This window comes from Homo sapiens, chromosome 12, assembly GCF_000001405.40.
Source record: "Homo sapiens chromosome 12, GRCh38.p14 Primary Assembly".
NCBI classification, from domain to species: Eukaryota; Metazoa; Chordata; class Mammalia; order Primates; family Hominidae; genus Homo; species Homo sapiens.
This window is the reverse complement of record NC_000012.12, coordinates 111,298,313-111,315,508: the sequence shown is the minus strand read 5'-3', so window position 1 is coordinate 111,315,508 and position 17,196 is coordinate 111,298,313. Positions and strand designations below refer to the sequence as shown.

At 51.9% G+C, this 17,196-nt stretch overlaps 1 protein-coding gene, 1 long non-coding RNA gene and 1 other non-coding gene across 9 annotated transcripts in view, besides 1 other annotated feature; 1 reads left to right on the top strand and 2 right to left on the bottom strand.

Annotated features, from left to right (window-relative positions):
* Positions 1 to 17,196, bottom strand: part of CUX2 (cut like homeobox 2) — a 316,390-nt gene that overhangs the window by 35,046 nt on the left and 264,148 nt on the right. For all 7 annotated transcript variants that reach the window (XM_017019081.2, NM_015267.4, XM_011538069.3 and 4 more), the window contains 8 exons: positions 16,920 to 16,968; positions 11,195 to 11,299; positions 8,397 to 8,588; positions 8,252 to 8,310; positions 7,176 to 7,224; positions 6,983 to 7,082; positions 4,827 to 5,468; positions 3,308 to 3,409 (listed from right to left, as the gene is read on the bottom strand). In XM_017019081.2, the coding sequence (XP_016874570.1) occupies positions 3,308 to 3,409; positions 4,827 to 5,468; positions 6,983 to 7,082; positions 7,176 to 7,224; positions 8,252 to 8,310; positions 8,397 to 8,588; positions 11,195 to 11,299; positions 16,920 to 16,968 (1,298 nt within the window). The remainder of the gene's footprint in view (positions 1 to 3,307; positions 3,410 to 4,826; positions 5,469 to 6,982; positions 7,083 to 7,175; positions 7,225 to 8,251; positions 8,311 to 8,396; positions 8,589 to 11,194; positions 11,300 to 16,919; positions 16,969 to 17,196) is intronic.
* Positions 1 to 17,196, top strand: part of LOC105369983 (uncharacterized) — a 34,934-nt gene that overhangs the window by 4,654 nt on the left and 13,084 nt on the right. Inside the window, exon 2 of the long non-coding RNA XR_945341.2 lies at positions 417 to 539. This is a non-coding gene — a long non-coding RNA (uncharacterized LOC105369983). The remainder of the gene's footprint in view (positions 1 to 416; positions 540 to 17,196) is intronic.
* On the bottom strand, positions 11,300 to 11,367 carry MIR6760 (microRNA 6760). Its single transcript, NR_106818.1, has one exon. It is a non-coding gene; the product is annotated as a microRNA 6760 (primary transcript).
* Positions 15,625 to 16,618: an enhancer, noted in NCBI's record as "H3K27ac-H3K4me1 hESC enhancer chr12:111736695-111737688 (GRCh37/hg19 assembly coordinates)". NCBI's record gives its function as "activates a minimal SCP1, AML or CMV promoter by ChIP-STARR-seq in naive H9 embryonic stem cells {active_cell/tissue: H9 hESC(naive)}" and the evidence as "EXISTENCE:reporter gene assay evidence [ECO:0000049][PMID:30033119]".

Below are 17,196 nucleotides of genomic sequence, written 5' to 3'. Positions count from 1 at the left end.
GACCTCAAGTGATCCATCTGTCTTGGCCTTCCAAAGTGTTGGGATTATACAGGCGTGAGCCACTGTGCCCGGCCCCATTTTTTCTTATCATTAAAAGTTCTACCTTTAAGGGCTGCACATGCTGCTAAAGGGATATTATCTGCTTTACTTACCAGATCCCCCACTGCTGGACACTTAGGTTGTTTTGTTTCCAGTTTGTCACTCTTATGAACAATGATGGAACAGCTTATATATAAACCCCTGTCCCCATTCTGGACATTTCCTTCCAATCCCAGAAGTAGAACTCGTGATTGAGCAGTTAGTCACATTCATTTCCTCCCTGGCAGCGGCTCATGTGCCCACTGCTTAGCATTCATTTTTTTTGCCAGGGGTATGGGGCAATAACCTTTGTATTTTTCCTCTTGCTGAACTCCTAGACCCTGAATATAAGACTACTGGCTGGCCCATGGAGAGCAAACGTTTTCCTCTGCTGCGATGCTGTCTTTGACATTGCCCTGGTGCCTGCTTCCGACCCCCAGGAGAAAGTGCTGTATAAAGAGGTGAGAGACCTGGGGTTTCCCTCTGTCTCTGTGTAACTGAACTCATGTCTTCCCTCCCTAGCCTCAGTTGTCCTGTCGGTTTAGTGGGAGACTTTGGCTAGTTATTTCTTTTTCTATTATTTTTTTTTGAGACAGCATCTCACTCTCACCCAGGCTGGAGTGTAGTGATGAGATCTCGGCTCACTACAACCTCTGCCTCCTGGGCTCAGGTGATCCTCCTGCCTCAGCCTCTTGAGTAGCTGGGACCACAGGTGTGTGCCACCACACCTAGCTAATTTTTGTATTTTTAGAGGAGATGGGGTTTTTTTTTTTTTTTTTTTTTTTTTTTTTAGACTGAGTTTTGCTCTTGTTGCGCAGGCTGGAGTGTAGTGGTGTGATCTCCGCTTACTGCAACCTTTGCCTCCCAGGTTCAAGCAATTCTCCTGCCTCAGCCTCCAAATAGCTGGGATTACAGGCACCTACCACCATGCCCAGCCAATTTTTGTATTTTTAGCAGAGACGGGGTTTCACCATGTTGTCCAGGCTAGTCTCAAACTCCTGACCTCAGGTGATCTGCCCGCCTTGGCCTCGGCCTCCCAGAGGCCCAGATGAGAAGATGGTCTGGGCACGGTGGCTCACGCCTGTAATCCCAGCACTTTGGGAGCCGAGGCAGGTGGATCACGAGGTCAGGAGTTAGCTGCCACACCCAGCCCTGGCTAGTTATTTCTCATGGTTCTTTTCATCTCCATATCATGTCTCACCCATATCTGAAATCTGTGTCTAGACCACAGTAGGTGCTTAATAAATGTTTACTGCATAATTACATCCTTCTCTGTCTTGCATCTCTCTTGCTACTGGAACTGACCAAGAGGGAAATTAGGCTCAGGGGATTTTACAGGTGGGGCAGGGTAGCCGGGTAATCCCTTATCCCCTCACCCCTCCCGGGGACCAGGCAGGAGGGAGGGCCATTGATTGGGAAACATCTCGGCTCCTGGCGGCAACTGGAGGGATTCAGGACACCTGCTCGGAGCAGCCACCAGGGGGCAGCAGACACTGCAAAAATGGAAGAGGGCTTTGAAACCGGAGTCCAGGGTCTCAGTCAGTCTACGCTGTGCTGGGTGTGAGGATGGAACTCGGTCCCTGGCTGCAAGAAGCCCCCACAGCAGACGGAGGGACAGCCACACCAGCAGAGTCGTTTGTGACAGCGCAGAACTGCAACAGGGAGGTAATAATGATAATATTTGCTGTAATGATGGCTGATCTTTCAGGATTACACTGACCTCATTTGATCCTCACACAACCCTAAGAAAGGAAAACTAATACAGTCCCCATTTTTTTTTTTCTTTTTGAGATGGAGTTTTGCTTTTGTCACCCAGGCTGGAGTGCAGTGGTGTGATCTCGGCTCACTGTAAGCTCTGCCTCCTGTGGTCAAGAGATTCTCCTGCCTCAGCCTCCTGAGTAGCTGGGATTACAGGCGTGCGCCACCACGCCCAGCTAATTTTTTTGTATGTTTAGTAGAGACAGGGTTTCGCCATGTTGGGCAGGCTTGTCTCTAACTCCTGACCTCAGGTGATCCGCCCGCCTCGGCCTCCCACAGTCCCCATTTTAAAGATGAGAAGATGGGCGGGGCACGGTGGCTCACGCCTGTAATCCCAGCACTTTGGGAGGCCGAGGCAGGTGGATCACGAGGTCAGGAGTTCAAGAGCAGCCTGACCAACATGGTGAAACCCCATCTCTACTAAAAATACAAAAAAAAAAAAAATTAGCCAGGTGTGGTGGCGCGTGCGTGTAATCCCAGCTACTCAGGAGGCTGAGGCAGGAGAATTGCTTGAACCAAGGAGGTGGAGGTTGCAGTGAGCTGAGACTGCGCCACTGCACTCCAGCCTGGGTGACAGAGTGAGAATCTGTCTCAAACAAAGACGATGAAGGCACAAAGAGGCTAAGTAACTTGCCCAAGGTCACATAGCCAATAAACAGCAGAGCCAGAATTTGTGGCCAGTCCAGCTCCACTACACCAAGCAAACAGGTCACTGTGGTGGGGGTGGAGGGAAGCGGGTGCAGTGTCCAACCCATCTTCTTGCAGGAGGTGACTTCTGAGTTGAGTCATAGGTATGAGTAGGAGTTGGCCAGGTGAAAGGTGTCTGGGGTAAGGACAGCATCAGAGGCGCAGGGTGGAGTGCACGGCAGCTGGGCATGACTATGAACAGTTCATGTGACAGGCATGGAGGGGCCTGAAGACTGTAGGGCCTGTAGGCCTTGTCGAGTCTTGGGATATTTTTCTTTTTTTTTTTCTGACAGAGTCTTGCTTTGTCACCTAGGCTGGAGTGCAGTGGTGTGATCTCGGCTCACTGCAACCTCCGCCTCCCGGGTTCAAGCAATTCTCCTGCCTCAGCCTTCTAAGTAGCTGGGATTACAGGCACATATCACCATGCCCAGGTAATTTTGTATTTTTAGTAGAGATGGGGTTTTACCATGTTGGCCAGGCTGGTCTCGAACTCCTGATCTCAGGTGATCAGCCTGCCTTGGCTTCCCAAAGTGCTGGGATTACAGGCATGAGCCACTGCGCCTGGCCAAGGGTTGAGATTTTATGTTGAGAGCTGTGTGGAACCATGGCAGGGTTCTGAGCAGTGCCACAGCTACCCATGCGCTCTAGACAGGTCCCTCTGGCCTCTGGTGGTTCTGATCCACCTTGGATTCCCTCTGGGGTGGACAAAGGTAGACGAAGCCTCATCTCCTGTTCGCAGCTGGCCCCGGGGGCCTCAGGCTTTGCCTGCAGGGGTCACACTCACCGCCCTTCTGCGACTCGATCTCCTTCTTGGCCTGCTCTAGAATGCTCTTGATGGCGTCGTCTGAGCCTGTCTCAGGCGTGCGGATTCTCGGGGTGATGCTGCCTGGGGAGGCAAGAAGGCATCTGTGGCAGGATCTGCATGTTGGGCTCAGTCTCCGGAGCCTGGTGGGGTAGGGGGGCTGTCTCCTCCTCCCAGAAGAGTGAGGGTCAGACCATCAGTGAGATGGCAGGGCCACTGCTTAGTCTATGTAACAAACTGTGGGCCTGTGAGTGATTCTGGTGTGAAATAAGAATCATAATAACGAGGCCAGGCACAGTGGCTCATGCCTGTAATCCCAGCACTCTGGGAGTCCGAGGTGGGAGGATCACTTTAGGTCAGGAGTTTGAGGCTATCCTGGCCAACATGGTGAAATCCTGTCTCTACTAAAAATACAAAATTAGCCAAGCATGGTGGCTTGCACCTGTAATCCCAGCTACTCAGGAGGCTGAGGCAGGAGAATCGCTTGAACCCAGGAGGCGGTGGTTGTAGTGAGCCAAGATTGTGCCACTGCACTCCAGCCTGAGTAACAGAACAAGACTCCGTCTCAAAAAAAAAAAAATAATAATAATAAAGAAATAGGGTACAGTGGCTTATGTCTGTAATCCCAGCACTTTGGGAGTCCAAGGCGGGTGGATTACCTGAGATCAGGAGTTTGAGACCAGCCTGATCACTATGGTGAGACCCTGTCTCTACTAAAAATGTAAAAATTAGCCAGGCATGGTGGCGTTGTGACTGTAATCCCAGCTACTAGGGAGGCTGAGACAGCAGAATTGCTTTAACCCAGGAGGCAGAGGTTGCAGTGAGCTGAGCTTGTGCCACTACACTCCAGCCTGGGTGACAGAGTGAGATTCCATCTCAAAAAAAAAAAGAAATGATGACGACAATGACTATGGCAACCACCACCCCTAACAGTTCTCAAGCAGCACTGCATGCCAGGTGCTGTGGTCAGTGCTTGATGCCCGTTTAATCCTCATGGTGCCTCCTGGAGGCTGACAGATGCAGAAACCGGGGCACAGGTGAAAGGAGTTGTCTGAGGTCACCCAGTGGGTGAACAGCAGAGCTGGGACTCAAACTCAGGCATTTGTGAGGCCACAGCTGGGACCCTTCATACTGATTACCTGAAAAATCAAGTCTGGTAAGGTTGGCGGTCTTACAAATGTATAAACTGAGGCTTGGAAGTGCTGGATGAATACCTGCCAGGGCAGCGCCTGGAGCCTTTTCCCGCCACCCTTACCCTGAGTGCCCCAGGAAGGGCAGACTGTCTCTGGCCAGGGCCAGGAAGGAGAGAGCGAGGATGTATTTCCTGCTTTTACAGAGGGGAAACTGAGGCACAGACAGGCAAAGCCACTGGCCCTGGGTCACACAGCCAGGTGGTGGTAGAGCTGGGCTTTGAACCCAGAGCGCGTGTCCTCAGCCCCCAGCCCTGATGCCCTGGACCTGGCGTGGTGGCCAGCGGGGACGGGCCCTCTTGGGCACTCACCTCGCTGCCGCACTTGGATGGTCCTGAGCGCCAGTACATTCTGCTCATCCGACAGGAACTGCTTCATCTTGATGAAGGGCTCCTTGCCCTTCACCGTGAGCTTGCGCCAGGGCTTGGGCCGGGCTAGGATCTCGCTGACCGAGCCCTGCGACAGCCCCAGCACGTAATGCCCAAACACCCGCTGCCCGATGTTGTGTTTCAGCAGCTGCTCCTTCACCTGGAAGGCGATCTCTGCCGTGTCCAGCTGCTCCTCCTCTGCCCCGGGCCCCGCCGCTCCGCCCCCACCACCATCCGCGGGCTCAGGACCGCCCAGTGGCTCAGGGCCAGGGGCCGGGGTGGCAGGGGCTGTGGGGGGCTTGGCGCCATAGAAGGCTGGGGGGAACACCAGCAGGCCGCCCGCCTCTCCCTTGAAGGCGGCTGGGGGCATCATCAGTCTCTCCCCTGATGCCAGGCTGGGGAAGGGGGACAGCGAGAAAGTCCGAGTGCCGTCAGGCCCCAAGCTGGGGCCCAGCAGGGGCTGCCCGGGGCTGGGAGACAGGGGGTCTTCTGGCCCTGGTGGAGGTGGGAGCTGCTGAGGGGAGGGGTAGGACTGCTCCGTGCCCAGTGAATCCTTGATGGAATCGTCCTCTGATGGGTCTTCCTCTAGAACACCCAGACAGACAGACAGACAGACAGACGGGGAAGACGATGATGAGGGGAGAGAGAGACAGGGAGAAAAAGAACCAGAGGGGGAGAGAGACAGAGAGAGACAACGAGAAAGAGAGACAGAGAGAGAAACCACATCAGAGAGACAGAGAGAGAGAGGGAGAGCGAGACAGAGACCACATGTGAGAGAAAGAAAGAGACAATGAGAGAGACAGAGAGAGAAATCACATGAGAGGGACAGAGAGAGAGAGAGGGAGAGCAAGACAGAGAGACCACATGAGAGAGAGAGAGAGAGATAAAGAGACAAAGAGACAGAGTGAAAAACCACATGACAGAGAGAGGCAGGGAGAGGGTCGGGGGGGAAGAGACAGAGAGAGACAGAGACATATATAGAGACAGAAAGTCAGAAATAGAGGAAGGAAGGAGGAGGAGGAGGGAAGGGGTTGGTGGGGAGGTGGGGGTGGGGAGCAGTGCTATAGGCGTCCAGCAGCTGGAAGCGCCGACCTTGGCTCTTTCTGCCCTACCCCCTCCATTCTCCAACTCCCACTCTTCCAGGCCCCATCCAAATGCCAGTTCTGGGGAGCGCCCCACCCCCATCACCAAGAGCATCAGCTGAGAACTTGCTATGGGCCCAGCACCTTGGCCTGGGGTGGGAAGTCGAACTTGCCACCACCTGCAGATGGGCCCTTGCTGGGCACCCACCCTGGAGCTGACTCACTAGACCTACATGGCACCCATGAAGTGGGCCCCAAGGTCACACCCATTTTATGGATGAGGAAACAGAGGCAGCACAGTGTCCTGCCTGGGGCCACAAGGCTAAAAGTTCAGTGGGTGGCTGGGTGCGGTGGCTTATGCCTGTAATCCCAGCACTTTGGGAGGCTGAGGCAGGCGGATCACCTGAGGTCAGGAGTTTGAGACCAGCCTGGCCAATGTGATGAAACCCCATCTCTGCTAAAAATATAAAACTTAGCTGGGTGTGGTGGTGCATGCCTGTAATCCCAGCTACTCAGGAGGCCGAGGCAGGTGAATTGCTTGAACCCAGGAGGCGGAGGCTGCAGTGAGCCGAGATCACACCACTGCACTCCAGCCTGGGCGACAGAGAGAGACTCGGTCTCAAAAAAAAAGTCAGCGGGTGGCTGACAGGGTGATCATGTCCGCAGCCTACTGCTCCCCACAGTGGTCGGCTGTGGGGGGTGTAATGACAATGCCCTGCTTGTCCCCCTGTGACCACTTCATGAAAGCCGCTGCAGCTCAAGAAGGCTCAGTGGGGAGTGGAGCTCTTTAGGGGGCCTTGGAAGGGCCCAAACCAGCTGTGTGACCCCAACGATGACGTGGGTGTTTGTGGATGCCCTGCAGGACAGGCATACAGCAGGTGCCAAATCAATGCACACCTGTTGTTCTGTCGTTCTCCTGCCTGCATGGAAGGCAGTGGTCCTTGGGCATGAGAAGGCCAGAGACCCACAGGCAGCCCCCGCCCCAGCCCTCAGCCCCAGAGTATCCTCCTCCCCTACCAGGGCTGGCCAGGAGGCTGGGCTTCTCCAGAAGGAATTTCTGCGTGGGGAAGAAGGCCTCCTTTGCAATAAGCAGTGAGTCTTCAGGCTTGGCCATGCCCTAGGAGACAAGAGGCAGGTTGAGAGGGCACCTGGTGGGCGGAAGGCTCACTGGGGCAGCCTGCCCTGCAGGGATGGTGGCAGGGACACTTACCTGGGGGAGGCTGCAGGTGCTGGAGGCCAGCTTCATGGCTTTCAGGATGCTGCCAGAGCAAGTGGAGAGGGTCTGAGGTCAGCCAGCCCCCGGGCTGGAGGAGAGGTCTTTCAAGAGGCACTGACCCGGCTTACCTCCCTGACAATGACTGCTCCATTCCCCAGAACCCCATTAATTCCAGAGTCATTGCAACCCCAGGCCTGAAGTAGCAGGCTCATTAACAGGTGGCGATGTTACCTGGAGGGGTGCTGCCTGAACTGACCCATTCTGGCCAGCTTGAGTTTAGCTGGTTAATGAATCACCTTCCAGTTACCATGCCTATAATAAGTTCCCTTGTATGGTCTACAGGCAGCTTCTTTTTTTCTTTGAGATGGAGTCTCACTCTGTCACCCAGGCTGGAGTGCAGTGGCACGATCTCTGCCTCCCAGGTTCAAGCGATTCTCCTGCCTCAGCCTCCCAAGTAGCTGGGACTACAGGTGAGCGCCACCACACCTGGCTAATTTCTGTATTTTTAGTAGAGACAGGGTTTTGCCCTTTCGGCCAGGCTGGTTTTGAACTCCTGACCTCAGGTGATCTGCCCGTACAGGCAGCTCTTAATGGAAAAGGACTGAAGATGGTTGAATTTCGTTTTGTTTTTGAGACAGGGTCTCACTGTGTTGTCCAGGCTGGAGTGCAGTGGTGCCACCACAGCTCACTGCAGCCTTGACCTCTCAGGCTCAAGCAATCCTCCCACATCAGCCTCCTGAGTGGCTGGGACTACAGCACGCATCACCACCACTCCTGGCTAATTAAAATTGTTTTTTTCTCACAGAGATGGGGTCTCCCCATTGTTGCCCAGGCTGGTCTCAAACTCCTGACCTCAAGCGATCCTCCTGCCTGGGCCTCCCAAAGTGTTGGGATTACAGGGATGAGCCACTGCACCTGGCCTGAGGATGGTTAAGGTTTGATATCCACAGTGTTAGTGGAGAGAAGAACAAATGGGGTTTAGTAGGAGGGAGGAAGATGATGAACTTTGCCAAGAGCTCCTGGCCAGGGAAGAGCACTGAGGGTCTGTGGAGCCCCACCCCACATGGTACCTCAGCTCCGTTTTAATTTCCTCATAGTCAGACTGGGCCTGGAGCTTCTCTTCCAGCTTCTAGAAGAGCAAAGAAAGATGGTGAGGCTGGTCTGTGTGCTTCTGCATGGGGCCGCCTGCCCGCCTGCCTCCTCCCCAGGACCCACTTCTATGGCCTCGGACTTGGCCGTGAGCTGCCGCTCCAGGTCGGCGATCTGGTTGGCGGATGCCTCCTCCAGCTCCTGCAGTGAGCTCTGGAGGTGCTGCACGTCCTTCAGCAGCCGCAGGATCTCCCTGTCCTTGGAGGCCAGCGCGGCCTCCAGCCGAGGGCCCGAGCACAGAGTGAAGTTCACCTTATCCTGCAGGCAAAGGGGTCTTTGAGGGGCTGAGAGGTGAGGGATGGGGGTCCACAGGTCTGGCCTCCCCACCCCTGAATCCCAAGCAGAATGCAAATTTGTTGATCTGGATGATGGTATGGGGTGTGCTTGTGTTGAAAAATTCAAAGTGTTGTATACTTATGACTTGTACACTTTTCCTTATGTATTAAGTTACACTTTGATTAAAAGATTTATTAAAAAAGAATAGCCATGACAAAAGGAAGGAGTCAGCTGAGGTTGGGGATTGGGTGCTCGCACCAGAGGAAACAGCATAGGTAAAAGTTTGAGTTTCTTTCTCAGGTCTGGCTCCTACTCCAGGGGGATGTCCCCATTCTAGGCAATAAGGGACCCTCAGGATTAGACTTGACACCTTGGAGCCACGGACCACGTTATGGGCGGCTCTTTCCTCCGCCTAATTTGCTGATAGCCCCAAGACCCATGGCTTCTCCACATTTTAGGAAATGGACCCTCTGTCCTGGATGAAGATGGAGAGGTTGCTGTTTGAGGAACCTGAAGTCAGGCTGATGTCAGGCTTAGTTACAAATAAATCTAAGAAACATTAAAAAAAAAAAAAAACCAAACAAACAAAAAGCCCCAACCCAACCCCAGCTTTCTTCCATGGAGATAAATGCCAATTAAAACAGGAAGCGGATGCCATTAATACATTAAATTAATTAGCATCGAGTGCCACTGTTGTGCTCAGAAAAGCACACCCCCCAAACCAGCAAAGTTCCCTGGGGCTGATTAGCACAGGCATTTGCCGGGTTCCACGGGGGTTAATTAAGAACCATTGGCAAATTCCTCTACGAGGCATCCTCATGGGCTCTCACTCTCCATCTCTCTCCACACAGCCTCTCTCTCCTGTGTTCACTCTCTCTGTGTTATGCCGTCACCCAGGAACATGGACACACACAGAATCTCCTGGGACACAGACACAGGCTGACACACAAGGACACACCTATAGCCACAGCACACACTAACACATGCAGTTTCCCAAATATGCTGACACACACACACAAATACACACGCATCAAAGAGAGACACTCACAAGGACACATCATCACACACAACAGACATGCGCGTGCTCAAAGAAGCCACATGCTCTCATGAGCAAAAACACCCCAGACACACCAAAGACACATTAACAATTATAACAGTAGCATCAAGTACTTAGTGAGCATATACAATGACCCAAGCACCATTTTAGGCACTTTACACATAATCCATTTTTTTTTTCAGAGACAGGATCTTGCTGTATTGCCCAGGCTGGACTCAAACTCCTGGGCTCAAGTGATCCTCCTGCCTCAGCCTCCTAAGAGGCTGGGACTACAGGCATGTGCCACCATGCCTGACTCATGTAATCCTTTTAATAACCCTATAAAGTAGATGTTAATTGTACAGATGAGGAAACTGAGGCACAGTCAGGTTAAGAATACAGTCAGTTGCCCAAAGGTCACAAGTAGAGACACACATACACAGTAACACATTCATAGAGACTCATTCCAATATTCAAACAGAAAGAGAGACATAGACACCTGGGCCTGTATATGTGGGTGTCAGGTGAAGTGAAAATTATGCTCGCAAGTTCAGGTTCATGGGTGGAGAGGGAAGTCACCCTGGAGCAGACCTGTTATTATGTAAGGAATCATGAATCTCACCCCTTGGTATGTAGAGATCTGGAAATAAGGCAGACCAATTCACATAATGAACCCAAGGCTCTCTGGGAGAGCCAGGATGGAGACTGCTAATATAGGACAGAAGGGTAGGTTGGGGTGGCCTTGATGAAAGTCTCTTGTCAAGAAATGACACTAGGACCCCAAAGAGGCACAAACCAGGAGGAAAGAGAAAGATGAATTGATTAATCAGGCCTAACACAAGAACCTCAGGGTTGATCACCGAAGACTGGCTCTTCATAGCATGTGGCTGGGGTGGGAAATCCCCCTAGAATCACCTGGCATGCTTTGGAAACCAATGGCTGAGTATGAATGTTAAATTTTATCTTGGTATGTGGCCCCACTGCAGTCCTGGTGATGACTGCCTGTTGATATGTTGGCTGGCTCACACTCCTAAAAGTACCCAGTTTTGGGACTGAAAACCAGCAGGGGCATCACCATCCCAAGCATGCACAAAGCTGCTATGACCGGTGTTCAACAGCGACACCTGGTGGCAGCCACCAAAACTGCATGCTGCTGTATTGCCTCAAACTCCCTCTCCCCCATGTCTTTGCTGGTGCATCTGGAAATCAGAATGATCTTTGGTCTGAGGAAGTTCCTGGCATTCTTGGATAATTGGGGATAAGGGAGGCCTCCAAAGGAAGATACTGGAACTCCTGGTAATAAAGGGTATATGGAAACGTGGGCTTGAAAAGTAAAGAACTGTAGCTGTATTTTTATCCTCAGCTGGTGTAGCAGGTCATAGTGATTATGCTCACCGTATGCACAGAGACCCACACACATTCACACTCCCAGTTTCAAATGGATGCACACAATCAACCACAAAGTGTCACCCACATGCTGAAACCTGCAAACTCAGCCATTCCCGATCTTTCCCTCTGCCCTCCCTGCTCACTTCCCCAACCCCATCCTTACCCCACTGGGCCCCTGGGGAGAGCAGCAAGCCAGGCGGATGGAGCTGTTGACAGAGGCCAGCTGTTCCCGGAGACTTTCCACCTCCCGCTGGGCAGCCTCAGCTCGCTGGGGAGAAGGGGACAGTGTGGGCGAGAGGTGAGCCCACTCTGCACTTCCACCTTCTCCCTGCACTGTTTCAGGCAGGGGTTGGGGAGGCAGACCTCCGAGGGCCTCAGGTCCTGCCTTCCTAGTCCCGGACCCTGTCCTGGAGCTATGAAGACCAGTCACAGAGCCCTGTCTGGGCTGGGGACAAGAAATAGCAGCCTCTGGGGTTACTCCTGAGCTGAGAGGACAGGAAGAAATGCCCCTCTGAGGAGGTTCTGGGTTCTCGTGGGGTGCCTGGGACCCCCAGAGGAGTCAGAACATTCCTGCTCTATGAAGGCAGGATGAGAGAGGCTCTCTGGGTGGGACTGGCAGGTTTTCACACATTTCTAGATACTTCTGTCTGCCACATTAACTTCAGGCCTGGCTAGTCTGAAGGCAAGAGCTGTTCCAACTCTCATGCCACCTGGTATGGAATGAGTCCCAGACACGGCATCTGCAAAGGTGCTTTCCCAGGCCACAGGTTATTGCAGCCCCTGGGCAAGTCACTTCCTCTCCCTGGGTCTCAGTTTCTTTTCTTTTCTTTTTTTTTTTTTTGAGATGGAGTCTCACTCTTGTCACCCAGGCTGGAGTGCAGTGGCACAATCGTGGCTCACTGCAAGCTGCCCCTCCTGGGTTCACGAGATTTTCCTGCCTCAGCCTCCCAAGTAGCTGGGATTACAAGTGCACACCACCACACCCAGCTATTTTTTGTATTTTTAGTAGAGGTGGGGTTTCACCATGTTGGCCAGGCTGGTCTTGAACTCCTGACCTCAGGTGATCCACCCGCTTCAGCCTCCCAAAGTGCTGGGATTACAGGAGTGAGCCATCGTGCCCAGCTCAGTTTCTCTTTTTGAAATGGGGAGCAATGAAAACATCTAACACAAAGAGGTTTTGAGTGGTTAAAATCAGAATGCAGCAGTTCACTAAACTGGGTCTATGGTCGATTTTTTTTTTTTTTTTTTTTTTTTTTCGAGACAGGGTCTCGCTCTGTCACCCAGGCTGGAGTGCAGTGGTGCAATCAGGGCTCACAGCAACCTCCAACTCCCGGGATCAATTGATCCTCCCATCTCAGCCTCCTGAGTAACTGGGATTACAGGTGTGCACTACCATGACGGGTTAATTTTTGTAGTTTTAATAGAGACGGGTTTTGCCATGTTGGCTAGGCTGGTCTTGAACTCCTGGGTTCAAGTAACCCACTTGCCTTGGCTTCCCAAAGTGCTGGGATTACAGGCATGAGCTACTGTGCCCAGCTGGTAGATTTCTTTTTCTTTTCTTTTTTTTTTTTTTTTTTTAAGACAGAGTCTTGCTTTGTTGCCCAGGCTGGAGTGCAGTGGCACAATCTTGGCTCACTGCAACCTCCACCTCCTGGGTTCAAGCAATTCTCCTGCCTCAGCCTCCTGAGTAGCTGGGATTACAGGTGTGTGATGCCAGGTCTGTCTACTTTTTGTATCTTTAGTAGAGACGGGGTTTTTCCATGTTGGCCAGGCTGGTCTCTAACTCCTGGGCTTAAGCAATCCACCCACCTCAGCCTCCCAAAAGTGCTGGGATTACAGGCATGAGCCACCACACCCAGCTGGTAGATCTTAATTCTTAAAAAATTTCTACCTGGAAGGAAGCATTCAAATGTTAATACATTTAATCTTGTGGCTTTGGAGAGAAATCTGGGCTCACATTCTGACTTTGCAACTTTCCGGTTATGCGATCTTAGGCAAGAGGCTTCATCTCCCCAGCCTCGGTTTCCCTATTAATAAAATGGGGATTATAAAGGCAACTATCTCATAGGGTTGTTCTGCAAATGAAGTGGTTTGGCCAAATGCAATTTGGTAGATATCTTTGCTTGGTGCCTGGCACATATAAATGCATCAATAATTGGTTAACTTTGTTAACATCATGAGGGTATATTACTTGAGCCATTACTTAGAGAATTAAAAGAGCTGTGGCTGTATTTTTGCCTTTGGCTGGTAATGCAGGTCATAGTGATTATGTTTAACTACATAATGACCTGGACAATCAGGATGCTATGCCCAATGTATGCATATTGAGACCCATACACATTCATGTTCACATTTGAATTTATTATTTATTTATACGTATCTTGCCTTGTTCCAGAAATGGTTCAAGTCAATTTTGTTTTGGGAAGAGTTTCCTGGTATGTGGGACTGTAAAGGAAATATTTTTATGTTTCTGTACAGTTAGGGAACCCTGAGCATATCTGATTGAAAGCTGAGATCTGGACTAAAGGACAAGCCTTGAAAATTCAACTCATGGCTGATTAGCTACTGAGAACCCCAGAGGTTTCCTTCCCTGGAGGTTTATGTGTTTAGACATCAAGGGTGGGTGAGACCCACATCATGGAGACAGCCCCTGAACAGTAAAGCTGGGTTTTAAAGCAATTAGCTGGGGCTGGGCATGGTGGCTCATGCCTATAATTCCAGGACTGTGAGAGGATTGCTTGAGACCACGAGTTTGAGACCAGCTTGGGCAACATAGCAAGATACCATCTTGACAACAGCAAGAAAAAATTACGGCTGTGGTGGTGTGAGCCTGTAGTCCTTGCTACTTGGGAGGATCCCTTGAGCCCAGGAGTTTGAGGCTGCAGTAAGCTAGGATCTTGCCACAGCACTCCAGTCTGGGTGACAGAGCTGGACCCTGTCTCTTGGAAAAGAAAAAAAAAAAGCTACTAGTCTTACCTCCCCCTCCAGAGATGTGTCTACATTCCAGAGGCTAACAGCCAGCGTCCTTGTCTCTGTCCACATGACACTTGGGAGGTAGATTCTTTCCCTTCCTCTCTCAGAAGGTCCCTCTCCTACATAACCACCTAGATTCAGAATTGGGGCGGTCCTCGCCTAGAGTACAAACTTAAGTACATGTGGGATGACAGCTGGTTCTCATTTTCTCACCCCAGGAGTAAGAATTGGGGCAAACTGGTGTGGTTATTATCCTGTAAGTAATAATATGGATCTGCTGTACCCCAGCATCCTCATTAAAATAGTATTAATAAATACAGAGATTAAAAACCTAATACACTGACATTTATTTTCTTCTCTATACGTCTCCATAATGTGTGGGTTTTAGTTTTGGACTCAGGAAAACATTATTAGACGTGCTTCCTATTCCAAGTACTATAAGCTGGATTTTTTTTTTTTTTTTTTTGAGATAGGGTCTCACTCTGTTGTCCAGGCTGGAATGCAGTAGTGTGATCATAGCTCACTGCAGCCTCCATCTTCCTGGACTCAGGTGATCGTCCCACCTCAGCCTCCTGAGCAGCTGGGACTACAGGCGTACACCACCATGCCTGGATAGTTTTTAAATATTTTGTAGAGATGAGGTCTCCCTATGTTTCCCAGGCTGGTCTCAAACTCCTGGGCTCAAGTGATCATCCCACCTCGGCCTCCCAGAGTGTTGGGATTAGAGGCATGAGCTATTGTGTGCAGTCTTGCCTGTTCTTATAAAGTTTTATTGGAATACAGCCATGCTCATTCACTTACATATTGTCTATGCTTTCATGCTATAATGGCAAAGTTGAAAATCTGTGTCAGAGACTGTATGGATTGCACAGCTGAAAATATTTACTCTCTGACTCTTTATAGAAAGTTTGCCCTCCCCTGGGTTAGACGATGGTGCACCCTGCTGAGGAACACCACACAGCCGTAAAACAGAGGAGGAACTGCTTTCTATACTGATACGGAAGGAGCTCAAAGATATAGACGGGGAAAAGTAAGGTTCACAATGGTATGCATAGTATATTATCATTTTGTTTTTAAAAGGGGTGGCTGGGCACAGAGGCTCACACCTCTAATCCCAGTGCTTTGGGAGGCCCAGGAGGGTGGACTGCTTGAGCTCAAGAGTTTGAGATCAGCCTGGGCAACATGGCAAAACCGCATCTCTACAAAACATATGAAAATTAGCCGGATGTGGTGGTGCGTGCCTGTAGTCCCAGCTACTTGGGGGACTGAGGCAGGAGGATTGCTTGAGCCCCAGAGGTTGAGGCTGCAGTGAGCTGTGATCGCTGCAATGCACTCCAGACTGGATGACAAAGTGAGACCCTGCCTGTCTCAACAAAAAGAGGCCGCTGGTTAAAATAGATATATTCTGGGCAACATGGTGAAACCTCATCTCTACAAAAAAATACAAAAAATTAGCACGGCGTGGTGGCACACGCCTCTGTTCCCAGCTAACTGGCTACCTGGGAGGCTGAGGTGGGAGGATCACCTGAGCCGGGGAAGTCAAGGCTACAGTGAGCCATGATTGTGCCACTGCACTCCAGCCTGGGCGACAGAGTATGACCCTGTCCCCCTTGCCCCCCACAAAAAGATATATTCGTGGGCTTGTGAATGGATTGACCATCTCTGGAAGGAGAACCCAGGGGCTGGTGAGAGAGGCTGCTGCAGGGGAGGAGAACTCGGAGGAGAGCTGGACTTTCCTAGACAGGCCCTTGTGTAGCTTCTTGAGTTCTGAACTACATGAATGCATTACCTATTCAAAAAATCATTCTAAAAAGGCTATGTAGCCTATACAAAATGGGGCTTACTTAATGATCATTTCAGAAAAATATGCTGGACCTAAGCTCAGGGAAGCCACTGCGGTTACCACCACCACGGTAACCTAGCCCTGACTTTGGCCTTCCCGACCCTCCTAGGGGACACTGCTTCTATAGGGGTAGGGGCTCATAGAGTCTCAGCACTTCCAGCCCAGGCCTGCACCTTCTGGTGGCTTCCCAGGGACATAGAATCAGCCCTTTTATCCAAGTCTCCTCTGTAGGAGGGAGTGCCCCCACCCTGCGCCCAAAGAGCCACACCTCGGGCCTCTGCTCCTGCTGAGCCTTCTACCTGGCTGCCCTCCCTCAGGGGACAGCATCAGGACTCTGAAACCCAGCTTCAAAATGTCTTCCAAGAGGCCCCTTTTAACTGCCCCTGGGGAAAATGACCTCTCTCCCTGCCACAGTGCGGGCCCGCAGACCTCAGGGCGGGTGGGCATCTTCTCCCACCCCACAGGCAGGAAGATGAGCCAAGGGACAGAGGGCTCAAGGCCCTGCTGGCCTCTCCTGGCCATGTCTCTGGCTGGTGGCATTGCAGGGAGCTGGGGGACAGACATGGTGGGCACTCAAGACTCCGGGCTGGAGCCCCCTGGCTGTGGCTGCCCTTCTTTTAAAGTCCTGCCTGACTCTGCCCACCAGATGGCAGCACCTCTGAGCCGGAGGAAGGCAGGAGGCGGGAGCCCCACTTAGAATCCATGCCTAGATATGCTGTCATTTATTCTTTGGGTCTTAGCTCCACATCCCTTCCTCTAGGACGTCTTCCTGGACTCCCGCAGTCTGGGTCAGCGGCCCCTTCCTGCCTGTTGCTGCTTGGAGCACTCTATTTCCAAGTGTGTCTGTCTGCATTCCCTACCCCAACCCCCTACCCTGGGCCCACCCTGGGAGCTTGGGGAGGGCAGGGCCTGGGGCCCAGACTCCTCCTGGCTCCCTCACTTGGCATGCACAAGACCCACAGTTGAATAAATATTGATGAAGCTCAGTCCCTTCCTCCTCATCTGGCCCGAGACCCCCACCCCAGGCAGAGGGAGCCTCTGGCACCCACGGGTGGGAACTGCGCCTCCTCACCTGATTAGCTTTCTCCAGGTTGGTCATGATCAGGCCGACTTCATCTGCCCTGAGACACAAAGATGAGGCCCTGAGGAAGGGCTTCCGGCGGGCTCCAGGCCCCCGCCCCTCCTGACACCCCCAGCCCCTGCCTGAGCCCAGGGGAGGGCTGAAGGCCTTGCTACAGGAGAGAAATCGGGCTGGGGAGAAAAGAGCCTAGGCTTCGAGGAAAAGGGAGTAGGGCGTCAGCACTGCACCTCTTCAGGACAGCCTGGCCTCCCCTCTCCCCCAGGGGCCA